Below are 22,999 nucleotides of genomic sequence, written 5' to 3'. Positions count from 1 at the left end.
CCTAGTACATTGTCTTTGTAGTTTTGGGCACTTTGTAAAATCAGACGAGGAGACAACTAGAGCTTCATGTTTTTGTGCAAAGCTCATTAAATAAGTAATCTCATGCAGTAATAAATGTTTCTCCCTGTCCTCTTGCTTAAAACAGCATGAACAAAAAGTAGTCCCAGTTGCCAGAAGGGCTACTCCAGGGGCATCACAAAAGACCACCTTTGGTTTCTTTTGTCCACTAGCTAAAGTGGCCCTCAAATATGTCAATGAAATAAAGATATAATTTTTTTCCTGCAGTTTCATTTATTTCAAAAAAAAGAGCAGTCAGATTCTGGTATTGCTGGAGAAAGCCTCTGAAGAGCAAAGACCTGGATTCTGCTTTTGTGTACTCTACTGGTTTGCATGTTACCCTCTCTCTCCCTTTTTTTCCCCCAACTTTCTCCCTTACTTCCTGTAGTAAGTTTGGTGTTGATGAGATAATGCCACAAAAAATGCTAATGGTGAAATGTGCTGTACAAATTGGCCATGGTTATGATTGATAACCTGAATACAAATGGCATCTCTAGACATGTGCCTGCAGGGAGGAGTTGCCTTTATGTAGCTGGAGCAAAACATTATGTAAGATTCTCTTGGAATAACATTTGTTCATTTCCACTTGAAATCCAAATCTGGGGGAAATGGCAGTAAAGAAGCTGACAAGAATGAATCTTAGTGTATCTGTCACTGGTAGACTGAGTTCTTTCTCTAGTCTGTATAGGTTCCAGAGAGAGAACACCCAATTGAAAAAGGACAAGCTGGTTTTATTCACTGGCCAGAAATGGAAAATGAGAGACCTCTTGCTCTAAAAAGTCACCTTCTCCCTAGCTGTGGGAAGCTGCAGGATTGTGATGAGTTAGATGTGGGGCGGGGAGCTATGTAAACACATGCAGGGAGAAAGTACAGAGGCACAGACACAGATAAACATGTTTCTCCATGCGTCCTATGGAGAGAAAATGGCGGCAGTTTTCTTCTAGGGATGGGGAGCCCAGCATTGTAACGCTATGTTAATGACCTAAACGGAACAAGGGGTAGCCAGTTCTGGTTTGCACTGGTTTCCTGCAGGCCTCTTGTATTTGGCAAAGGATCACCAAGCTCCTGCGACATCCCAGGCCATCTGGAGTTCTTTAAGCAAGAGTATCTATAGATAAAGAAACTAGGGAAGATAACAATTTAAGAAAATAATGAGCTTTCCCAGCTATTTCTCTAGGGCTGCCCTGGTAATATTTCTACATCAACAGCAACACATATTTTTCAGCATTGTGTAAGCCAGGAAATCTATGCTAGACTCCACGGGGAAAATAGAAGAATAAAACATGGTTCTTGCTCTGGAGGAGCATAGTTCCTAGTTGGGAAGGTGGACAGAAACATAAAAGACCGGTAGCATGTAAAGAACATTTTCTAAGTGTTACATAAATGATGCAAACAAAGTTTTGCAATTCTGGAGGGCAGCATGCCCATAACCTCTAAGGTATATTAAGAAAGACAAAGTAGAAAATGGGCATTGAGGGCTGGAAGCCTAAAGACACAAGGAGAGAAGGAGAGAGCCACCTCACATAAGAAAAAATGCACAGTGGTGTGGCAGTGGAAATGTACATGGGTTCGGGGGTGCGTGATGTGGAAAAGAACAGTTGGCTTAATCCAGTGGCTCCAGATCTGAGCTTTACATCAGAATCACCTGAGAAGCTTTTAAAAATTACAAATGCCTCAGCCCCACTCCAGAGCTTCCATTTAATTAGTTTAAGACTGGGGACTGGTCTCAGTGGTGTTTCTGATTGATTTTGTTTTGTTTTTGTTTCTGTCTCAATTTCCCAGAATATTCTAATGTGAAGTCAGAGTTGAGAATCACTGAGCAAAAACCAAGATTTTTATATCATAATCATGGGACATAAAATGAAAGAAGTAATCTTTTAAAGGAGATTAAATGGACAACCAAGAGTGTGACCTTTAATTTGTAGAAACTGTATATACATGCACATTTGTATGTAGTCTTTTAAATTCACAGATAATTCCTCGTGGTGATTCTGTCTACTTGGATGATGTGGCTGAAAGCCTTTGTAACCAGCTGCCTACTCTTGTCCTCTGTGTACTTTGGGGGTGTCCTATAGTGGATCCTAGCTAAGTGGGGCACAATGGGCATCTCACAGGAGCTTGTTTCTACCAGGCTTTTTGTAATCATTGCCAAGGGCTTTATTATCATGCCTAATAGTGCCCACAGTAGCTATTTTATAAGCATCTGCAATCTTCCCTCACCTCTCCAACTTTACAAATTGAGAAATGGAGTTTAATTACTTGCCTTGGGCCAGGAGACTAGCTGGTGATGAAGGTGAAATGAGAATTCTCAGGGAGGTGAAATTAGAATTTCCAGCTACTGAATTCCACATACCTTATTAAACTCCCAAAGTGAGTCTACCCACTCTCCTGTTGGTGTTAGAATGTTATTTCTTACATGAATGAATCAGTGTCACAGATCAGTAGGTGAAGATGACTGGTTTCCCTAAGCTGCCAACACTGTGATTATCTGAGTGTCAATGACCCATAGGCAGTCACAGTGGTCCCGAGAGCCCCGTCCCTGATGCCTGGGAGCTCTCAGTCTAGTGAAGTTTGGCCTTGCATATTTATAGTTTATCCACTCTAACATCTGGGAAGTGAAGACTCTGGTTGCTATTCCACTGCTCCTAGCCCCACACTTTACGGCTGTTCTGATTTCCCTTCTCTGAAGCTCTTGTTCACTGAAAGGATATCAGCTTTTTGCTACACCCCTGAAAAAAAGAGGAGAAAGCCCAGCATTTTAAACAGCTGCTTTTTTTTTTTCTTTTGGATGGAGTCTTGCTCTGTCTCCAGGCTGGAGTGCAGTGGCGCGATCTCGGCTCACCGCAACCTCTGCCTCCCGGGTTCAAGCTAGTCTCCTGCCTCAGCCTCCCGAGTAGCTGGGACTACAGGCACGCGCCACCAAGCCCGGCTAATTTTTGTATTTTTAGTAGAGATGGGGTTTCACCATGTTGGCCAGGATGGTCTCGATCTCTTGACCTCCTGATCTGCCCGCCTTGGCCTCCCAAAGTGCTGGGATTACAGGCATGAGCCATTGCACCCGGCCAACAGCTACATTTTAAAGAATCCTTTATATGTGTTGGGAGCTTCTGGGTTCACTGCCCACGGTGAGACTAGGGGTGGGGACGGAAGTTCTTCTGAAGGACAGTGCGGGGAAAAAGCCAGAGTCTTGGCAATACAGCCTCTTTAGACAAAAAGATAGGTCAATTTGTACCATTCCCAAATGGTTGGGTTTTCTTTTCTCTGTCTCAAAATCCATTACTGATTTAAAACAATTTCCAAAAGCTTTAGCAATAGCAAAAAGCAAGCCTCTTAAACAGTGTTGCTCCACACTGATTGCACGTGAGAATCACCTAGGGAGCTTTAGAAACAACTATAGACTCACTGAATCAATATTCTGGGAAGGGGCCTGGACATTCGTATTTATTTACAGTTCTCCAGGTTTATAATGTGCATCCAGGGCTAAGAGCTACTACTGGTCAGCTATGATCCAAATCTTAATTACTTATTTGTATTTCTTCTTTTGCCTTGTTTTAGAGTCTCATGGCCCAGAAAACCATCAAACTATATTTTTGTTGAGTAGCAATTTCATCATTCTGTTCTTTAAAAAACATGATTTTGAGCATAATTTAAGTTTGCTACTTCTATAGAGAGACCTCACACTCAGTAGCCTCATCACTAAAATTTTCTGTGTGCAATTTAGAAATCACATTGCCAGAAGCTTGCTAATTAATTATGAGACTGAAAGATAAAGGTTAAGCTTTCCTGCCACCTATATATTAGATTTCCCAATTGCTATGTTAATCTTTAGTTAACCAAGACTTGCTTTCTTGTCTCAGCCATTTTAAAGCCAATTAACTCTGTTCCTGTTCACACCCTTATTAAAAATATAATTACAGCAGTAGTCTCCAGGGACTGTCATTGGGTAGGCTTTACCAAGGTAAATTAGCCAAGAAATAACTAGGCTGTGTAACACCCTCTCAGACCCTGGAAATCATTTTGGTTGCAGAAGCTACTTAGTATCAGAGTAGGCTGGGGTACTCATAAATTTGGATTTGGAAAAAGCCAATTCCAAGTCATCCTAAATGTGGAAGAATCTGTGATTTTGAGAATGATTCTGGAATCAGTTATCCAGGGTCCAGCCAAGTCTGATACACCGATCCTCAGAAGGTTGTATTAATAACAAAAAGAAACCAGGTTTTTGTATTAGATTTGATGGAAGAGGCTGGGGGACAGAAGGTGATGTAGCATTTTGTTTTCTGGGGTGCTGAGATTGTGGGATTAGGAGAAAATAAGAAAAAAGATCGCAGGGGAGAACGATGGACAGAGGCCTCCTGTTAGTCAACTATCATGGGCATCAGAATTTCTTTATTCACTCAACTAATGTTTATGGAGGTTCTGCTTTGTTCCAAGGACCCATTATAGGAGCTGGAGATAGAAGGATGAAGTTCCTACTCTAGTGTAGTTTAGATTCCAGTAAGAGGAAACAGATATCCACACTAAAAACAAACAATAAATAAAACCCAATAAATTAGTCAGTACTATGAAAAAAATGCAATGAACTGAAGGGAATAGAGTTTGCTGAAGGCTGCTTTCAATAGCTTGTACAAGTTGCACTGTCTGAGGAGGTGCCCTTCAAGCTAGCACATCAGTACTAAAAAGAAAAGCATGCCGAGAGCTGGCAGAAAGAAGGCTTCAGGCAGAAAGAACAACAGCAAAAGTCCTAAGACTGGAAAAGGTCTGAGTTGTTCAGGAAACAGAAATGAGACCATTGTGGCTGGACCCGAGGTAAGAAGCAATGAGGGAAAGGTGGGAAAAGAGCAAGGAGGGCCCGAGGTCATGGGATGGAGTTAGGCTGTTAAGTGCTTTGAGAGCCTAACATCCTAACTCATTGGGAGGTTTTCAGCAGGGTAGGATCATGGTTGGCATTGCCTTTGAGAGCTCTTCCCAGCTTCTGTGTGGAGAATGGCTTGAAGACTGAAAGCAGAGGGTTTGTAGGAGGCTGATCGGAAGTACAAGCAAGAGGGGAGGGTGGATCATGCCAAGGTGACAGCAAGCAAGGTGGAAGAGGTGTTGGATTCAGGATGGAATTTGGAGGTATGGCCAGCATGGCTTTCAGATGGAGGGGACCAGCGAAAGTGCTGGAAAACCTAGTCCTGCTCAAGATGATTGTTCCTGCCCTACCCTTGTTTTAGACCCCTTGTTTTGAACTAAAACAGAATAATATCTAGTGCTATTTAAAAACATTAGGAATTTTAACCTTAACTTGTTTAAGCAGAACAAAACAAATCCCTGCCTGGGGAGAAACTTCTGTTTGCTGCTTTTGCCTCTTAACCATAAAAATTTCATCCTGTCTCGTAAGACTATTCTGATGGCTTTTGTTGTTTTTGATTACTGTGCTTTTCGTAAGTGCTGGAAAGGTCACATTCGCATTACTAGTTTATCTCTTTTCTGAGTGTTTTGACACTTTGGCTGTGTTTACCAAGGCCTTCCTGCTGTCAGACATTTACATGGGGCTTTCTACAGTTGATCAGTTTCTCCATATAAGTGCTAATATAATCGCAAGCATTTAGTGGGCACTGACTGTATGCAAGGCCTTGTTTTAAGAATTTCATGTTTTAACTCATTTAGTCCTTCCAGCCACCCTTTATAATAAAAAGTGTGTACTCTTATTATCATTTTATAGATGAGGAAACTGAGGCAAAAAAAGAGGTTAAGTCATATGCCCAAGATCATACAGCTGGTAAGTAGTAAAGCCAGGTTTTGAACTGAATCCATCTGTACAGCTCTGGGTTCCTAGTAACTATGTTGTGCCACTTTTCTATGTAATTGAAGCTGCCACCTTCAGAAGTAGACTTGTTTCTCCTGCAAAAACCCCAAGGTACCACTAGGAGACACTAAAACTGGGCCGGGCTTCCGGGAGTTGGACTGGTGGGGAGATGGCATAATCTAGAGGCTGAATGATCCAACCCCCCTCCAGGAAGGCCTCACATCTAAACCACCTGCCATCTGCCAAGGTGGGAGGATAAACCACCCCCCACCCCGCCGCCAACAGGGCACTGGCTGGTGAAAGTTGCCAATACCAGAGGAGTCTTGATGAAATGCCCTCTCTTTTCCTCAAACTCTTTCTGCCTACTATTCATAGTTTCTGTGTTGTACCCACCCACCTGCCACTTATCAAAGACTGAAGAAACCAAAGTTATTCAACAAGCCATGAAGCAAATTCTAATTGCTCCCCACGGCCATCTGAGGCTGGCCTTTGGAAACTTAAAAAAAAAAAATTAAAAAAAGAGAGTCATATTAATTTATTTGTTACCACATTATTTGCTTTAAAATTCTGGTGGCTTCTTTCCAGTGTTTTATTAGTAGAAGCGAAATAAGCCTAGGAAACACAATATTTCATTCTGTCTTCTCTGCTTTTCACTGCATATCTACCTTCAAAAATGTCTTCTCTCAAGTTACTTGGTTTCTCAATAACTAGCGTGAAAGTAACAGACCTTCCTTCCTTCCTAATGATAGTAACAACAAGGGATTTACAGAATTGAAGTTTATATAAGGAAATGCATTAAGATTTTAACTTAAGTAAGTGAACTATTCAGCAATGGCTATAAAGACAGTAATTGTGATGATTTGTCTTCTATATTATATGTTTAAACTAGTTATATATTTTAATTATATAAGATGCAATTTTTTTGCTCCAGTTTCCATAGGGTAATTTTCAACAGAGATTAACATGCGTTCATTGGAAGTGTTGAATTTACCTAATCAAATCATCAATTTGTTTATTCAACTTTAATTTTCAAAAAAATGTTATTTTAAAATATTATATGATATGTGTCAGGTATTTCTTACGGTTGACTTCCAAATTTAAAACTGCAAAGAAAACAGAAATCCATACATATAGTTGCAGTAAACTATACTCAATTTTGGAAGATTGCAGTGGCAACATCAGTGAATTAAAGTTTGAAAGCTATTTCAAATCTTTGCATATTCTCCAAATAACTCAGAATCCTACAAAAAGCTAAATATTTAAAAAAATTTATCTTCAAACCAATAATGTAAGTTTCTTCTTTATTGGGATGATTTTGGTTAAATATTTAGCAGAAAGTAAGGGTGAATATATATTTGATATAGGTATGTCCTAAGCTAAAATCAAGTCATTTAAAGATCAGAGCAATTAATGGCAGTTATGTGATCACAGGAATCAGTCTATCTCCTCCCTCAGGGTTTGATTCAATGAGTTTTATTTTTCTCTTAGCAACTTTTCTTATTTTACTTTTCAAAGGACATCATTGAAACCATAATAGTGTTCATATCTGTGACTTTTAAATTTTTATTTATTTTTATGCATGGTTTAAAATTCATTTAGTTCATTTAAAATTCAAAGATATAAAAGAGCATTCATAAAAATGTCCCCCTCTCCTGTCCTCCAGCCTTTACAAAAATATACCATATATATTAATATGGGCTAAATACCCTTTTAAAGTTATCTCACACGCAAGATGCTATGACTGTGTGAAGCCGGAGCCTACAGACTATTGCTGATCCCCCAGTAGTAGTAGCAGTGACTCTTTAGTGGCCCTGGAGCTTCCTTTCTAAACTCAAGTGTATATTTAATGTGGCTATTTAGGGATGAACAGCAGTATTTTCAGAGAAAAGTATAAAAGAACAGATGAAATCACACAAGATGCACACATCTGGGTATTGGTGGGCATGTACTTTCAGCAGTGAGTTTACAAATAATCTAGACAGAGTTAAGTATCAGGTTTAAGAGTCCTAGGATCTAAGCCTGCATGGGTTCAGTCTTCTGCAGGAACTTGGGAATGTTGGGGTTCACTTAGGCCCCCAGTGTTGGCATGTACACCCACTTTCAGGAGGCTGGAGGTATAAGTTCCTCTCTGCATTTGTCTCAGGTCATCACAGGCCTCAGAAGTTTCTCAACAGAAAAGGATTGCATGGGTTGGATGTCCAGAAGGATACGTGGAGTTAAACATCAGTCAGTGGAGCTAGAGGCTTGCTAAGACTTGGGAAGAGGATGAGGGAAGGCAAAACCTGTCACCTAAAGGGGAATTCTAGAATGTACTTACTACACTCATGACATTACCCTACCACCTTCATTTATCACCTTGTGTCAAACATAGACTTCTTGGTCAAGACCACTATGCTGTAAGCTACCTGAGGGCAGGACTATGACTTATTCTCCTTTGTTTACCCTGCCCCAGTGCCTAACAGTGTCTTTGGAATTGGAATGTTCAATAAGTGGGTTAAACTTTTGAAACTGAATATTTCAAATAATCACAGATAACAGATGGTTAAAAACCAAGTCCTTCTCAGCCTAACTAGTGCCAAACCAAATCATTGTCCATGTCTCCTAAAGAAATGAAAGTTTTCTAATTACCTATATAGGTCTGGACTCAAAACTATAAGGCAGCACACTGTCTTTGGTGTTGACCTATGTCCCAGGTTGTCCATGGTCATCACACACTAATGACCACTTGTATGTATTTCATCTAGAGGATCACACAGAGTGGTATGCTAGGCCCAAGGAATAAGTTTACCTGCTTATTTCACTTCTCCACTGTCATCCTACTGTGTTTCAGGAAGAATTTCTTTTACCTCTGCTTACTCTACTAAGATGCCCCACATAAGCCCCCAACTCCTTTTCTTGTCCCCCTCCCACTTTGTTGTCTATTTTCTTCTGTCAGACCCCTTCCTCCTCCAAACTGAACCTTCCTGAGAATATACCAAAGAACTCAATAAACCATTCAGCCCACTATAGTTCAATAAATGAGCACTTGGTTCAACCTCAAGTCTCTGTTGGTGGAAATGTCACTGTGATCTAGGTGAGGGAAACATTTTGAGAGCCTGTGGGAACCTCCAATAGCACCTTATAGTAGCTTCTTCTGGTGCCTGTGTAATACTACAATTTCCAGAAGCCTTGTTGATATCCAGCTAAGTGAAAAGAAAGTCCTCAGTTCCAGAGTTCTTACTTCTATTTCTTTTTTTTTTCTTTTCCCTTTTGTTTTTTTTTGAGACAGAGTCTTTTTCTGTCACCCAGGCTGCAGTGCAGTGGCGCAATCTCGGCTCACTGCAACCTCTGCCTCCTGCGTTCAAGCGATTCTCTTGCCTCAGCCTCCTGAGTAGCTGGAACAGATGTGCGTCACCAAGCCCAGCTAATTTTTTTTTTTTTTTTTTTTTTTTTAGTAGAGACAGGATTTCACCATGTTGACCAAGCTGGTCTCGAACTCCTGCCTATCCACCTGCCTCAGCCTCCCAAAGTGCTGCAATTACAGGCATGCGCCACCGTGCCCGGCCCTTACTTCTATTTCTAAATAGCAATGGATTCCACTCTTCCAAGGACCCAGAACTTGCCCTAGGGGTGAGGGTCTTTTGTACATCTTGCAACTGAGAACTTTTGCTAGAATCAGACAGACAACATAGATCTCAGCTCTAATTTTCCAGGAGTGAAGCTGTGGAGCAAGTGAGTTACCTCTCTGTCTCACTTTTTCATCTGTACAATGAGGCTACTAAAACATACATTCCAGGGTTGCTGGGAGAAAAAGACAAGACAAGGTATGTACAACACTTGGCACCAAGGAAGCACACAATTCATGGGAGTAATTACTATCATCCTCACCAAGAGTTCATGATTTACTGGGGGACACCAACACATGTACAGTCAACAGGGTAAAATGCTAAGGATGTGGGGCAAGTGTTGAGTCTGAGCTCAGTAGAAATTTATGAGCCTCAAAGGCCCTAAAACATCCTTGACCACTCAGTTCTATTTCACACCCTTCTTGTACTTCACCAACAAACCAGCAACATGCTTCTGGTTGGCAGCCCTTATAAAAGAATTTACCTTCTATAGTCAAGTCCAAAGCTCTTAACTGCTTACCACATGACAGCCAATAAGACAAGATATTGGGGCAAGGAAGATGACTTTTTTTCAGGGAGCCAGCAATCCTAGAAGATGGCAGACTGATGTACTAAAGAACCATCTTAAGTTGATAGATTGTTAGGCTCCTTTTATGTTAGGGGAAGGGGGAATAGGTAGGGGGTTAAGGTCCACAGTTGACTGGTGACCACAGGCATCTGGGCATCAGCAGGGATCTAGGAGGTTGCAAAACTTCTTTGTTCATGGTCAACTATTTTCCAGATTGACCTTGTTTCTATAAATTTTTAAGATGGCATTGTTATTTGTGTGCATACTTTCTAATCTCCTCAGGGGTCTGTTTCAAAAGAGAGATGGTCATTAGTTCTGAAGTTAAACTATAATCTAAATTCTTTCCATCATTAGCTTGGCCTATGTATAGGAATGAGCAAAGGCAGTTAGCCTGTGAGGTTAGAAGCAAGATGGAGTCAGCTATGTGATATTTCTCCCACTGTTACACATCTCTGAATACAAGAGGAATACATTTCTTCTTTTTGCTGTGTTTGCTTCAAGCCTGTACCACTGAGAAATTGGGTGATCCAGGGAAGTTTTACTTCTCTTGAACCTCAGGCTCTATCTTTGTAACAATGGAGAAATCAATGCCTGCATTCTAGGCCCTTTTGAGGGTGGAGGAAGACAATGGTTGAGAAACTTCTCATCTATAGTTGATCCTCAATGCGTTTGCCCCTTTTCCTGTGGCACTGCTTTGTATTTGGATGGTTCGAGCAGTGCGTAACACATGGAGGAAAGGCAATGGAATGATGACAAATAGTTTGTTGATTTGGTGCTTTGTACATTCACCCACAAATGGCACAGTTTCAGGGCCACTGTCCTTGCCAAATACTATCTGAAGAGCTAGGTTATGAGCCTTTGGAACCCAGATCTGATAAGCATGGAGGAAAACTCCTCAAGGGAGATGAAGCTAGGAGATTAGCAGAATATACTTTCTCCATTTGTCCCACATTTGATGCCAGCAGGCAAACCAGAGCCAGCTGGGCAGTGTACAATTCCCAGAAATAAGGAAAGGGTAGAAGCACCTGTTTTTCCTCTAGCAAAACCAAGGCAAATGGAAAAGCTCAGAAATATATCAGCACCATTAGCAAGAGGCACAACGGGGAAGGCTGGAAATGTGCTGAGGAAAATCACATTGCCGGTCAACGCATAGCTACCTGCTGGAGAAGAGAGTCTGCAGACACACCTCAGCCTGGACAAAGGCCTCCAGGACCGGGAGCTGTGCTCTGCAGGAACTGGGCCCCAGGCACTGAGGACTGAAAACCAGCCCAACAAAGCATACCTGTTTCCATTTGTGAGAGATGAAATGATATGGGTTTTGTGACTCACTAAACCACTTGGAAGGCCAAACAATTACAAAAGCAAGATGCCTGGCTTCTTCTAGCCACATGGAGGGGCCCTCAGACTTGAGTAGCTGTGTGCCACTTGTCTGGGGTGGCTGCACCAAAAGGAACAGTGAGGTTTAGATGCTTGTTATTGTTCATTGTTCAGTTTTGGTTCTGTCTATTTACTTCTAATTCCTCAAATATTATTGTGATTAGTGGTATAGAAAGGAAACGTTCATTTGTGAGCAAAGTGTGTAATAAGAATTTAATAATGAAATTCCCAGAAAAAAAAACTCAGATAGCTAAAGAAACAGCAGTAACATGAGCTCCAAATATCTTGAGTTGTATTGTTAAGGTGAGAATCCATAATGTAAAGGGAATAATGTAAAGGGAATGCTTTGAAATCAAAGGCATAATCCAAGTGTGATAACCTAAAAGGTTGTGGATTTCTTTTAAAGTAGAAATTACATGTGGCTTTGGGAAATCATCAGCTGAAGCATAAGCTATGCTTATGGATTCTCGCTGTGTTGTCACTAAGACCGATTATATAAAGACTTGGCAAATCCATGTACAAATGTAAAACTTCCCACAATGGTATTTCATGGGGATCTCCTTTTACAAAGTGGTCGTTGATCAGGACATTTTTCACTGATATATTCCTTTGGAAGCAATGAATTTTAGATAGGATATGATTATTGTACAATGTGATAGGTAGCTCTGATTATTCAAGCAGCTAGGGCATTATTCAGTGGCAAAGCATTAAGCTACTCTGGAATCTTTCTTCTGTGTAAGCAGGCAGCTGCTGTTGAGACTTTCTCTTTGTGGGTGAATTTGCCCAACCAATGGCAAGCATTCATTGGGAGTAGGGGAATGACGCTGATCACTGTTAATGACAGTTGAAAATGAAATGCTTTAATGAATCTCATACTTGGACTTGGCTGCTGAGCCAGAGCCCTGTACTTGAAGAGCTTAATTATGATGCCTCAAAATTTAGATCTTGACCCTGAACTGCTATGACTTCCTCCCACCCTCAGTTTTGAGAGAAACTTTAAATTCGCTAGGGGATTCAATGTTTTACATGCTTGGTTATGCAAAATGGGAACAGTAGTGTCCAAACAATGGAATAGGCTTCTATATTATTATTTTCATTTAGGCAGTATAACTGACATGATTACCAAAGTCATGTTATAGTACATGTATACAAATTAATTTCATACCAGGGGACTTCACTGGGGGGAAAAAAGGGAAGTCCCTATTTGTGAAAACTATGATTTTGGTTTCTTTCTGAGTAAAGCACTGCTAATCTCTTTGGTGTACAGGAAAGTATGGTATTATGTTCTAAAAATCAGAAGCCCCAGACCTTAATTTCAACTAATCTGATGACATCATTTTGTACTCAGAGTTTCATTTCCCAACAATTTCATGTTTCTTAGTAGGTGGGGAACCCAGAATTGAAAGGCATCAAAAACAGCTAAATATAACCAAAAACCTGCTAACTCACCAGCTTTCTAAAATTCAGGAAGTATCTTTAACTTGATTGCTGAATCTCCAAAGACATGATGATCAGATGACTGGTTAATGGGTATTTTTTCAGACTCTACATGATTATCAGAAATGGCTGCCCTGGCCAATTGTATACCTACGAAGAGGTATTATGTAGAAGAACTTATATTCATCTACTTAATGTGGACCTCAAATATTAAGGATGTTCCTAATGTGTTCTAGACCGGAGTCAGCAATACTTTTCATAAAGAGCCAGATAGTAAATATTTCTAGGCTTTTTGGGCCATATAGCCTCTGTCACAATTCCTCAACTCTGCTCTTGTCACACAAAAGCAGCCATAGACAATGCATAGGTGAATGAATGTGGCTGTGTTTCAATAAAACTAGACTCTCTTAATGCCAAGTATTTGCTGGAATAACACAAATTAATTTATCCTCAAATCTGTTTAACCTATTAATATGTCAGTCAATATTACATTAATATTTTATGAATCTGGTATCATATTATACATGAATTTATCTGAACATTTGGTTAATTCATGAATATTTACTCAATATTAATACTACATCATGAATCTGTTATCAAGTCATATACAGATTTCTTAAAAAATTTCCCTTATTTAGCGTACTTGTGAATAACATCAATAAGCAAGTATCTTAAGTTAACTATCAGGTTATATAGCAGATCCTCTCCCCCTTTTGTAACTCTTTCTGTTACAAGGGATTTTACATTATTATGGTATTGGGAAGTAAGTCTATTTATCCTGTCCCTATCTGTCTTCGTATTAACCATATTCTGTTATAGCTTTTATCTTTGCAGACAGAATAGTTCAAATCTTCATGATTTGTCCTTAAACAACCCCCACTTCCTCATCCTCTTGAACATTTTATGCCTCCATCACTGTCTCTTCAGGTCTTGTGAGTCCTTGAAGTGCAGTGACTAGGCTGGAACATGGTGTTCCAGGTTGGTCACATCACCTCTTCCTAATGATGCCCCATTGTACCTTTTGACTATAGCAAGGAATAAACAAAGTCAGAAGTGTGAAAGTGGGGGAGAAATTGAGAAAGTGCAGGGGATTTAGGGGAGAGAAAAATGGACTACAGGAAAAGAAAACATTGACTTTTGCAAAGTGCTCTAAACTGGCTACAAATGCATTCCGTAATTCTTTAAACCTTAATTGTAACCGCAGTTAAGCTTTCCGGTGTGTTGGAATAAGAACAAAACTAAAATCCTTCTTTGTATAGAAATTATCCTGCAGTAACTTAGAGCCAATATCTCTAGTTAGGATGAGCGCAGTGGCTCATGCCTGTAGTCCCAGCACTTTGGGAGGCTGAGGCAGGTGGATTGCTTGCACCCAAGTAGTTTGAGACCAGCCTGGGCAACATAGCGAAATGCTGTCTCTACAAAAAAATTAAAAAATTAGACGAGCATGGTGTCACGCACCTGTTGTCCTAGCTACTTGGGGGCACTGAGGGGAGAGAATCACTTGAACCTGTAAGGTCAAGGCTGCAGTGAGTCATAATCACGCCACTGCACTCCAGCCTGGATAACAGAGTTAGACCTGTCTCAAAAAAAAAGAGGAAGAGATCTCTGGTTAGAGTTTGTCTCTGATGGATACTAACCATGCAAGTAGTTTACACAAACCACATTCTTTCTGTAGAATGAGAAAATCTTGGATATAATTTAGCATAATGAGCTAAATAACTCTAGACTGAGCTTCGCTGCCCAGACAGGACTCTACTTGTGATCTGGGAAGATCTACCCTTGCACTGAATTCTCTCCTCTTCTCTCCTGACTCTGTGAGAAAAGTTTGCATGAATTTACTGAGATTAGTTATAGAAGGAACTGTGTGTCATTGAAAGTCTTGTACAGAAGTTCACATTAAAATATATCATAGTCATCTTTGGGAATGATTCTGCAAAATTCATAAAACAAAGATCTCTGAAACCCTAAGGCACACTGTGCTGGAGGCTAAGGGAATAATAGTGAGCTGAGTGGTTTCTGCCTACACAGAGCTTCTAATATATTGAGGAAAGAGATCTCAATCAAATTCAATTGCATTTATAAGTATGGTAAGGACAACAAAGGAGAGAGACATTATTCTGTAGGAGAATAACCCTGTCAAAGTGATGACTGATTTAAGATCAAAATGGGAAGGTAAAATTTTCTCAGTACCTGCAAAGGCACTGAGGTGGGAGGGAGCATGCCAATGTAGGGAAATGAAGAAACCCAGTGTGTATGAGCCAAGCTGAATAAAACATGAGAAGAAGCTGGAGAATGAGAGAGACCAGTCCCCAAGCTCTCAAGGAGCAAGAGGAAGCCTTTTCGGCATTTGAAGTGGAGGGATGGCATGATCTCGTGCGTAGTTTTTAAAAGAACCACTCAGGCTACTCTTTTGAGAATATTGTGGGAGGCCAGAGTAGATGCCTATAGACTTATACAGAGGTTAAGGCAGTTGATAAGAGTATAAACAATGATGGTAGCTTACCTCACATGCTTTTTAGATTATAGGCTAGAAGGTGGCCCAAGCCCATATACCATCATGGCACAGTGAATACGTTTTCCTTCTGGATCGTGGAAATGAATATTGTGCCACACAGCTTGATTGACACTCCCCAATGACTTTTAATACTGTGGGATCTCTGGCACATACTTCAGAAGATGAGAAAGGAGTTTTAATTAACCTCTGTTTAGGAATTCCATAGACATAATTTTCATTAACATCTACTTGGTATTTCATCTCCATGAATTCTTTCCAGTGATAAAGCTAGTTGGTTTATCCTCCAGGACTGCTCAGTTCTGAACAGTGGGTCTTAAGTACTCTTTGGATTTCTTTGAAGGCTTTTTTTTATTTTTGTTGACTACCTCTCTACTCATTTTGCCCCAGAAAAAATGTAGTCATTTCTTTGATAAGTGAAATCTAAGAAAGGCTTATTTCATTTGGTACATTAAAGAGATGGAAGAAAGTAACTTTACATAAGAATATAAATGCCAGCTGTCCAGCATATTACAGAATAGATTTCTAAATTTGCTGAAAGGTTAGGAAAATGGATTCTTATGTAGGCTTAAAATTTTTATAATTTTTTTGGCATTCTAGAATGAAATAAAGAAAATCGGTATCATCTTGATCTCATCACCCAGAAGAAAAAAAAAACACTGATACATGGTGAAATATTTTCCTCTCTCATTTTTAAAAAGAATCAGGAATAGATTGTATACATATTTTTCAAATTCTTTCTACTTAGTGTTATATGATAGTCAATAATATATGTGTATGTAAGTAGCAATAAATCATTCCTGAAAACTTGTTTTTTAAGCTTGTATAACATTCCGTCATATGGATGTACTGATTTTGCTAATTTGTTAAGTTTAAAATAATATTCATTTTCATTTCTTTGACTACTAGGTATAATTAATTTTTTCATACACTCACTACCCTTCATACTTCTTTTATTGATTTCCTTTTTATGTTAATTATTAAGATTTCTATTTGACTCTCAACATTTTCTTAATTTTTTTATCATTAATAGATGTAAAAAAATTCTTAATTTTTAAAAAATAAACCCTTTTCATCTTAAAGATAGCAATCTATTTTCCATAATACTTGTTATAAATATTTCCCCAGTTTGATGTTGGTCTTTTAATTTTGTTTAAAGTATTTTTGACAAATAAATAAGTTTTTGTGGCTTGAAGTTTGTTCATTTTTTTCATTTGTGATTACAGTTTAGTTGTTGATTCAACACATCCTTATTGAGTGTTTTGTGTTCAGCACTAAGCGAGACACAAGAGGTAAGACAGAAAAACAAGGTGCAGGTGGTTTTGCCACTTAGAGATTACAATTTAATGAGGGGATAGACAAACAAAACCAGGTCATTATAAAATAGTATACTACAAGCTATGCAAGAGGAAATACAGGTGGGAAGAAGTACCTGATCTGGACCTGGGGGATAAGGGAAGGCTTCTGGAAGGAAACAACCTTCTAGCTGAGAATGAAGGAAAATGGCAACATGAATTTAGAGAGAGGAAACAGTATGTGTGAAAGTGTTGTTCAGTGTCCTAAATGTTAAAGGTCCTCTTTCCCCAGAACATGGAGTGTGTGTGTGTGTGTGTGTGTGTGTGCGCGCGCGTGGGTGTGTGAAGGAGCAGGGCAGGGTGGTGGTCAAGTGTGAGCAGGAGGCCACTGGGGAGGCTGCGGCAGTCCGAGAGAAAGACAATGATGTTGGGCAGAGGATGTGTTGAATAACTCATCCCTTTTCACTGGACAAGCAATGCTTCAGTGTATATTAAGTTCTTATTCATAGCATACCGTCTATTCCAGAATAATCTAATTAGTTTTATTGCTATATCAATTCTTGGGCCAACACCACACTGGTTTTGAGTTTAATGAAACGTCTAAACTGGTAATGCATGCATCCTCTCATCACTTTTCATTTTCAAAATTGATTTACCTATTCTTGCCAATGCGTCCTCCCAAGTAAACTCTAAAATAATTTCAAAAGTCACAAAAGCATACGTGTGTGTATATGCATGTGTGTAAATACATGTATATATGTGTATGTGTGTTTCTTCCAACCATTTTTCAGTTTTTGGAGAATAAGATGTTTTTATTCAAGTTGCTGTCAGTAAATATTTTATATTACATGACTTCTCTATACACACACACACACACACACACACACACAATCTCCCATTGGTAATTTGATTGGGAATGTGTTAAATCAGGAGAACAGACATTCTTTTTAATATTGAGTCAGCCCATCAAGAAGCATTGAATGTTTTCCCACTTACTCAATTCTTTTATACTTCTTTTTAAGCCTTTATAGTCTTACTCATATAGGTCCTGCATATTTATTGACGGGGTATTCTTTTTTCTTTTATAATTTTAGCTTTTAATTATGAATGGATTTTTCTTCCATTATCTCCTCTCTGGTATTACTGGACTACAGGATAAATATTAATGATGTATATTTACTTTTTATCTGATTATTTAACTGATTATAATTAATTATAAGTGTTCATAGTTAATTATAAAAGTTTATAATCATGGTGTCTTTAAATAATGATAATTGTTCTCCTTCCAAAAATTGCATCTAATTTTTATTTGGTGTCTTACAGCATTGATCGTAACTTCTAATACTAAATAACAATGATAATAGTGAGCGTCCTGTCTTAATATCAATTTCAAGAAGAACACCTCTTACATAACATTTTTAAAAGTGTGTTATGTGGAAGCTAATAAAATAAACTTGGGAAATGCGACAAATGAAAATTCTCTCTCCCAGGCATTCTTAATTCATATTAACATATTAAGATGAGATCTGCAACAAAGAGATGAGTTCAACTGAGTTTAACCCAGTATTTCTAAAATGTATTTGACTATGGAAGTATTTTTCCCTCATTTAGAATTTTACATCAGTTATGACAGTCAAAATTATATTAATTTGATCTTCTTTCTTTTTTTAGAAAAATAATTTTCATACTTTCTTGTCTTTTCTGTTTGATCTCTCTTTTGCCATATGGACTATGATTTGGGTTTACTTTTAATTTTTTTCAATAATTGAGAAGCTCGTCACCCTTCTTTTTATTTCTACAAGTGGTTACACTTAAAGTTTCCAAGACATTTCTATCCATATCTTATACTTAGCAAAGTCAAAGACATGACCATACAGTTTTCTAATCAACTTCAAAATGAAATGTTATCTTTGAATAACCCCATCAAAAGAAATTTAATCCATTTTTACTTCCTTCCAACCTTTCCTCAGTATTGGTAAGAATAATTTAACATTTTTTATTCATGTTACTGTCAGTAAATATTTTATATTATATGACTTCTCTTTTGTGAATTATGTGATCTGTTCAGCAACATAATCCTTTACAATACATTCCTGAGCAGTTCTATGGTTATCTGATTTCTGTGTCCATAACTATTGTCTTTTTATACCATAAATTTCTCATTTTTTTACTTTTTAATTTTAATATCTTAAGATTCGCCACCTTTTATCCCATTTATCCTTTTAGGGTGTATAATGTAGGTCATCTACATTTTGAGAAGTGCCTGATTCTGTTTACTATAGTGTCAGTTTTACCCCTTACTGCCTTCAGTGGACAAATTAGTACTATTATTTCATTTCTGGCTCCTCTACAACCCCTTTTAATCTAACCCAGCACTCTTTTCCTTCCTTACTTTTATCTCATAATGGCTACCTGTCCTTTTCCACAGTATTTTCTATTTCAGTTGAAGATGATAAACAGTTTTCTGACATTGACATTAAGATGATGTTTCAGTTTTCTTGTTAGACAATTTTGTTCACTGTCTAAGCTACTTATTTTTCATGATTACTCGTCTAGGAATAAAAATCAATCTACTTAGACCCAATATTTTTGAACACTGAGCATATGTAATGTGTTCTTAAACCTGTTCAATATGTACTGGGCTCTAAATGTCCTGGCCTACAGCTGGAGGGCAGAATGACATGTCCTAGTTCAATATCAGCCTCTAACAGGAATGCTACTGATGTAGTTTTCTGCACTGAGATAGGATCTTCTTTTCTTCCATTGCCTATTCTCCTGGAGGCAAAATAGAGAACATAAAAAGTCATCATCTTTGGTATGTTCTTCTTTAGGGGCTTTTTCTTTCTCCCAGCCCAACCCCCATAGTCCTTACTTGCTAGATGTGTGTTCCAGGATTCAGTTCACCACTGCCCAGTCTTCTAACATCCAATTTCATTGTTTTCTGAGAGTTGAGAATTTTCATACAGATATAGAAGGGATGCTGTGCTTGTTTGAAATGGTTCTATTTGGCAGAGGATAGCCGAACAGTTTTTAGGCAAAGAATGAACTGTCTACTTACTTTCTTTGAAGAAGCCAACAATTTGGTTTTGTTGCCAACAGCAAATAATATATTGGCTAATAATTGTGGTTTACAGTGACATGGGTAATGTTAGTCATAACATGTCTTCCAAGTTTCTGGCTATGGACTAACTGTAGGTCTTGGAGTTTGGTATTATCTAGAATTTTCCTTCTCCCTCCTCCCCCACCTCTTATCTTTTAGCATAGTTGAAGATTGGAACTTCTTCCCAGAAATCTAGCATCTTCATAAGTCCTTTCCGGTTTTAAGATTTTTATCTTATATTTTATATATATATTACATATATTTCCTGTGAATCTTGGCTGAATTTCTCATTTAATAAAGTCCAAGTTAGTATGAATAAATAACATGTTTCCCGATTTTACACACATACAGAAATTCAAACACATAATGAACTCTCTGGCAGCCTTTAGCATTTGTAAGTGCTCTCTCACCAGGAAAATCCTTTAATAGATAACCAAGTGTCCTGGGGAAGAAGGGTGTCAGGAAACTTATTATATTTGTGTCACTTTCTTCAAAGGGTGATTAAGTATATGTCTCCAAAGATGTGATGTTATCATCTTTGAGTATCACTTGAATTCAAGTCAATATTTATTGAGACCCCATGTTGTATCAGGTGCCTTACTAGAAAGTCGACATATAGAGATGCATAAGACATGATCTTTTTCAGTGGGTAATTTAAGGTCTTTCTTCTACTGCTAGCATTGTCATGTGTAAGGCTGGTGGGTTGAGTCTTTGGAATTTGTGAAGATTCTTCCAGGTTGTTTAAAAAATCTTTTGATTCTCACAAATGTATTTTTTCTATTTCTTAGAATTATGTTCTTTATGGCTACCAGGAAATCCTTTGAAACTGGAATTAGATTGCATTATTCCACTGGGGTAATAGGATTGGTAAGGTAGGAGTGTCTTTGAAGAATAATGCTAAATAACCCAGACACTAAGGCTGAATCTTCAGCACAGCTCTTAAGGCATCCTGTAAGTACCCTCTGCTGCTTATTAGAAATCCCAAAGCCCTGCTCCCTTAGGAAAGCGGCCCATCCCCATCCTCATCATAAGATGCAAGGCATAGCTAAACATCTCAACTTCTCACTTGAGTATTATATACTCTCAGGCCAGGATACTTTCCAACTCAAGAGTAAGATAACATTACATTCTGATCTTCTTGTGTGTGTTTTTATGTTTTTTTTTTCATTTTATTTATTATTTTTTTTTTTGAGACAGAAATTTTACTCTTGTCACCCAGGCTGGAATACAACGGCGCAACATTCTGATCTTCTTTTGAGAGAAAAGTTTCACACAATTAGCCTTTGAAATACACATTCCTTTAAGTACCATGAAAACATTGTCCCATACAACAATATTTCTAAGAAACACACATGTCCCTCCCACAATGATTTTTTCTTGTTACCACCAATAAAAATTAGAGCTGTGTTGTTTTTGTTGTTGGGTTTGTTTTTGTTTTTGTTTTTTGGTGACTACTGTGACCCTCAAAAAATCAATCCGACTTTCTCGATCTTGATTTGCAACACCAAGGTTACCAAACAAAGAGAATGGTTCAATGAGGGAAAGCTCAACTACCTAAATATTTAGTATAGCAATGCTGAGCTTTTGGTAATGGCTCAAAATTCTCATGCTTTCCCACTAAATGAAAAGGGGAGCTTTGCTACTAGTAAACCATATTCAAGAAATAATTCTTATTAATACTTTGCTTCTTTCCTATGAATTATTGCTTTGTAATGGATGTTTGACAAGTTACTAGCAAAGCAGTCTTCGATGAGCACAGAGACCCATCAGATCTGTATTAACACCTCCAACCACTGGAGTTTCATTAAGTAGGTTTCTCTACCCCTCTCCTTCAGGCCACAGATAGGAAGAATGACATTGGGTCCAAAGTTCTGGCACAAAGAATGATGTCTGCCTTCCTGTGATGATTTCAAATTCAGGGTAATAATTCCAACTATCTTTCCCTGGCCATGATAGAAAGCTCAAGAAATCTTGGTTCCTTGTCTCTTTTCTTCCATCCAGTTGGTCTTTCTAATTACACACTCAACACAATGTTCTGCTGAGCAAGACATCTGCTGTAGCCACTATCACCCTTGGCATAACCAGATATTTAAAGGTACCTAAAGGAGTTTAGCCATATTTTGCCAAGATCCTAAGTTCTATGGCATAAGAATCCATCCACTTCTCTACTGCCTATAGAAAAGGACAGCTCAGTCTTTCTGAAAGAATTGTTCTCAAACAAGAAAGCATTTGAGGTAACATGTCAACAAGGTGGACTGGTAATTGGTGTTCCTTTCAGAGCCAGTTGGAGGAAATGGCCAGCTCAGACATTCTCTTCTCCCCAGTGTCCTATGGGAACAAGATTTACCCAGACACAGCTGACTATGAGAAGTCTTCAGGGATTTACAACCTGTCTAAGAACAAGGCCAATGGGGGGCTCACTTTGCAACACGTCCCTATTTGATTGTCAGAGGACAGATACTCTATTAACAAAGGAATTTGCACTGGTATTTTCAGGGACACATCAAGTAATTGCCACTTGAACGTTTTTCCAGGCTTTCAAAGGAATGTAAGAATGGCCTAAGGCTAAATTACATTCATGTCTTTAGTGAGTCATTATATTACTGGCAATAAAGTATATTATTACTTTACTTTCAGATGCCCTCACATATTTTTTTAAAGTAGAAAGGAGACATATTATGGTCACCATTCTTAAGAGACTTAACTAAAAGACACTAATTTAATCTTTTAGTTACTTAAAAATAGCTGTTGCTCACCCACTATGTGCCAGTCTGTATACCAGGCACCAATATGAAAAGGTGAGTATTCTCTGGTCTCCCTAAGCACAGTCTAGTGGAGGAGACAGACAAAATGCAGCCATGGCCAGAAGGGGGAGCAGTTAATGAACAAGTAGGCAGAGAGTAGGGAGGGGATTCTGAGAGACAGTACGGACGGACTGAGGGTAAGTTGTACATCCCTGATATTTTGGGCAATTGCAAATAGTTTGATGACCAAATCACAAGGAGAAGAAGTGACAGCAAGCATGGCTGAAAATGTAGGTTGGTGTCAAATTGTAAAAAGCCTTGAATACTGTGCTGAACGGTTTGATCCGTGAATCAGGTAGAGGACTTGACTCAGGTCTCTTGACTCAAAGGTCATGTTTTTTCTCTGCTAGATTGCACTTATCCTTCCAAATGCTAGTGGACACCACACTGAATTTGATCAAAGATCTCTCAATGGAAATATGTAAATTTCCTGTAAGAAGCAATTGGTAGGTTCTC

General features: G+C 38.6%; 1 protein-coding gene across 2 annotated transcripts in view, besides 1 other annotated feature; it reads left to right on the top strand.

The window, feature by feature from the left end:
* Positions 1–22,999, top strand: part of PRLR (prolactin receptor) — a 181,732-nt gene that overhangs the window by 5,344 nt on the left and 153,389 nt on the right. The window lies entirely within an intron of this gene.
* Positions 22,403–22,697: a silencer, noted in NCBI's record as "tiled region #5567; HepG2 Repressive DNase unmatched - State 12:CtcfO, and K562 Repressive DNase matched - State 12:CtcfO". NCBI's record gives its function as "represses a minimal TATA promoter and a strong SV40 promoter by Sharpr-MPRA in HepG2 and K562 cells {active_cell/tissue: HepG2 | K562}" and the evidence as "EXISTENCE:reporter gene assay evidence [ECO:0000049][PMID:27701403]".

This window comes from Homo sapiens, chromosome 5 (genome assembly GCF_000001405.40).
Source record: "Homo sapiens chromosome 5, GRCh38.p14 Primary Assembly".
Classification (NCBI taxonomy): domain Eukaryota; kingdom Metazoa; phylum Chordata; class Mammalia; order Primates; family Hominidae; genus Homo; species Homo sapiens.
Note: the sequence above shows the minus strand (reverse complement) of the source record. Positions and strands in the feature narration are given on the sequence as shown.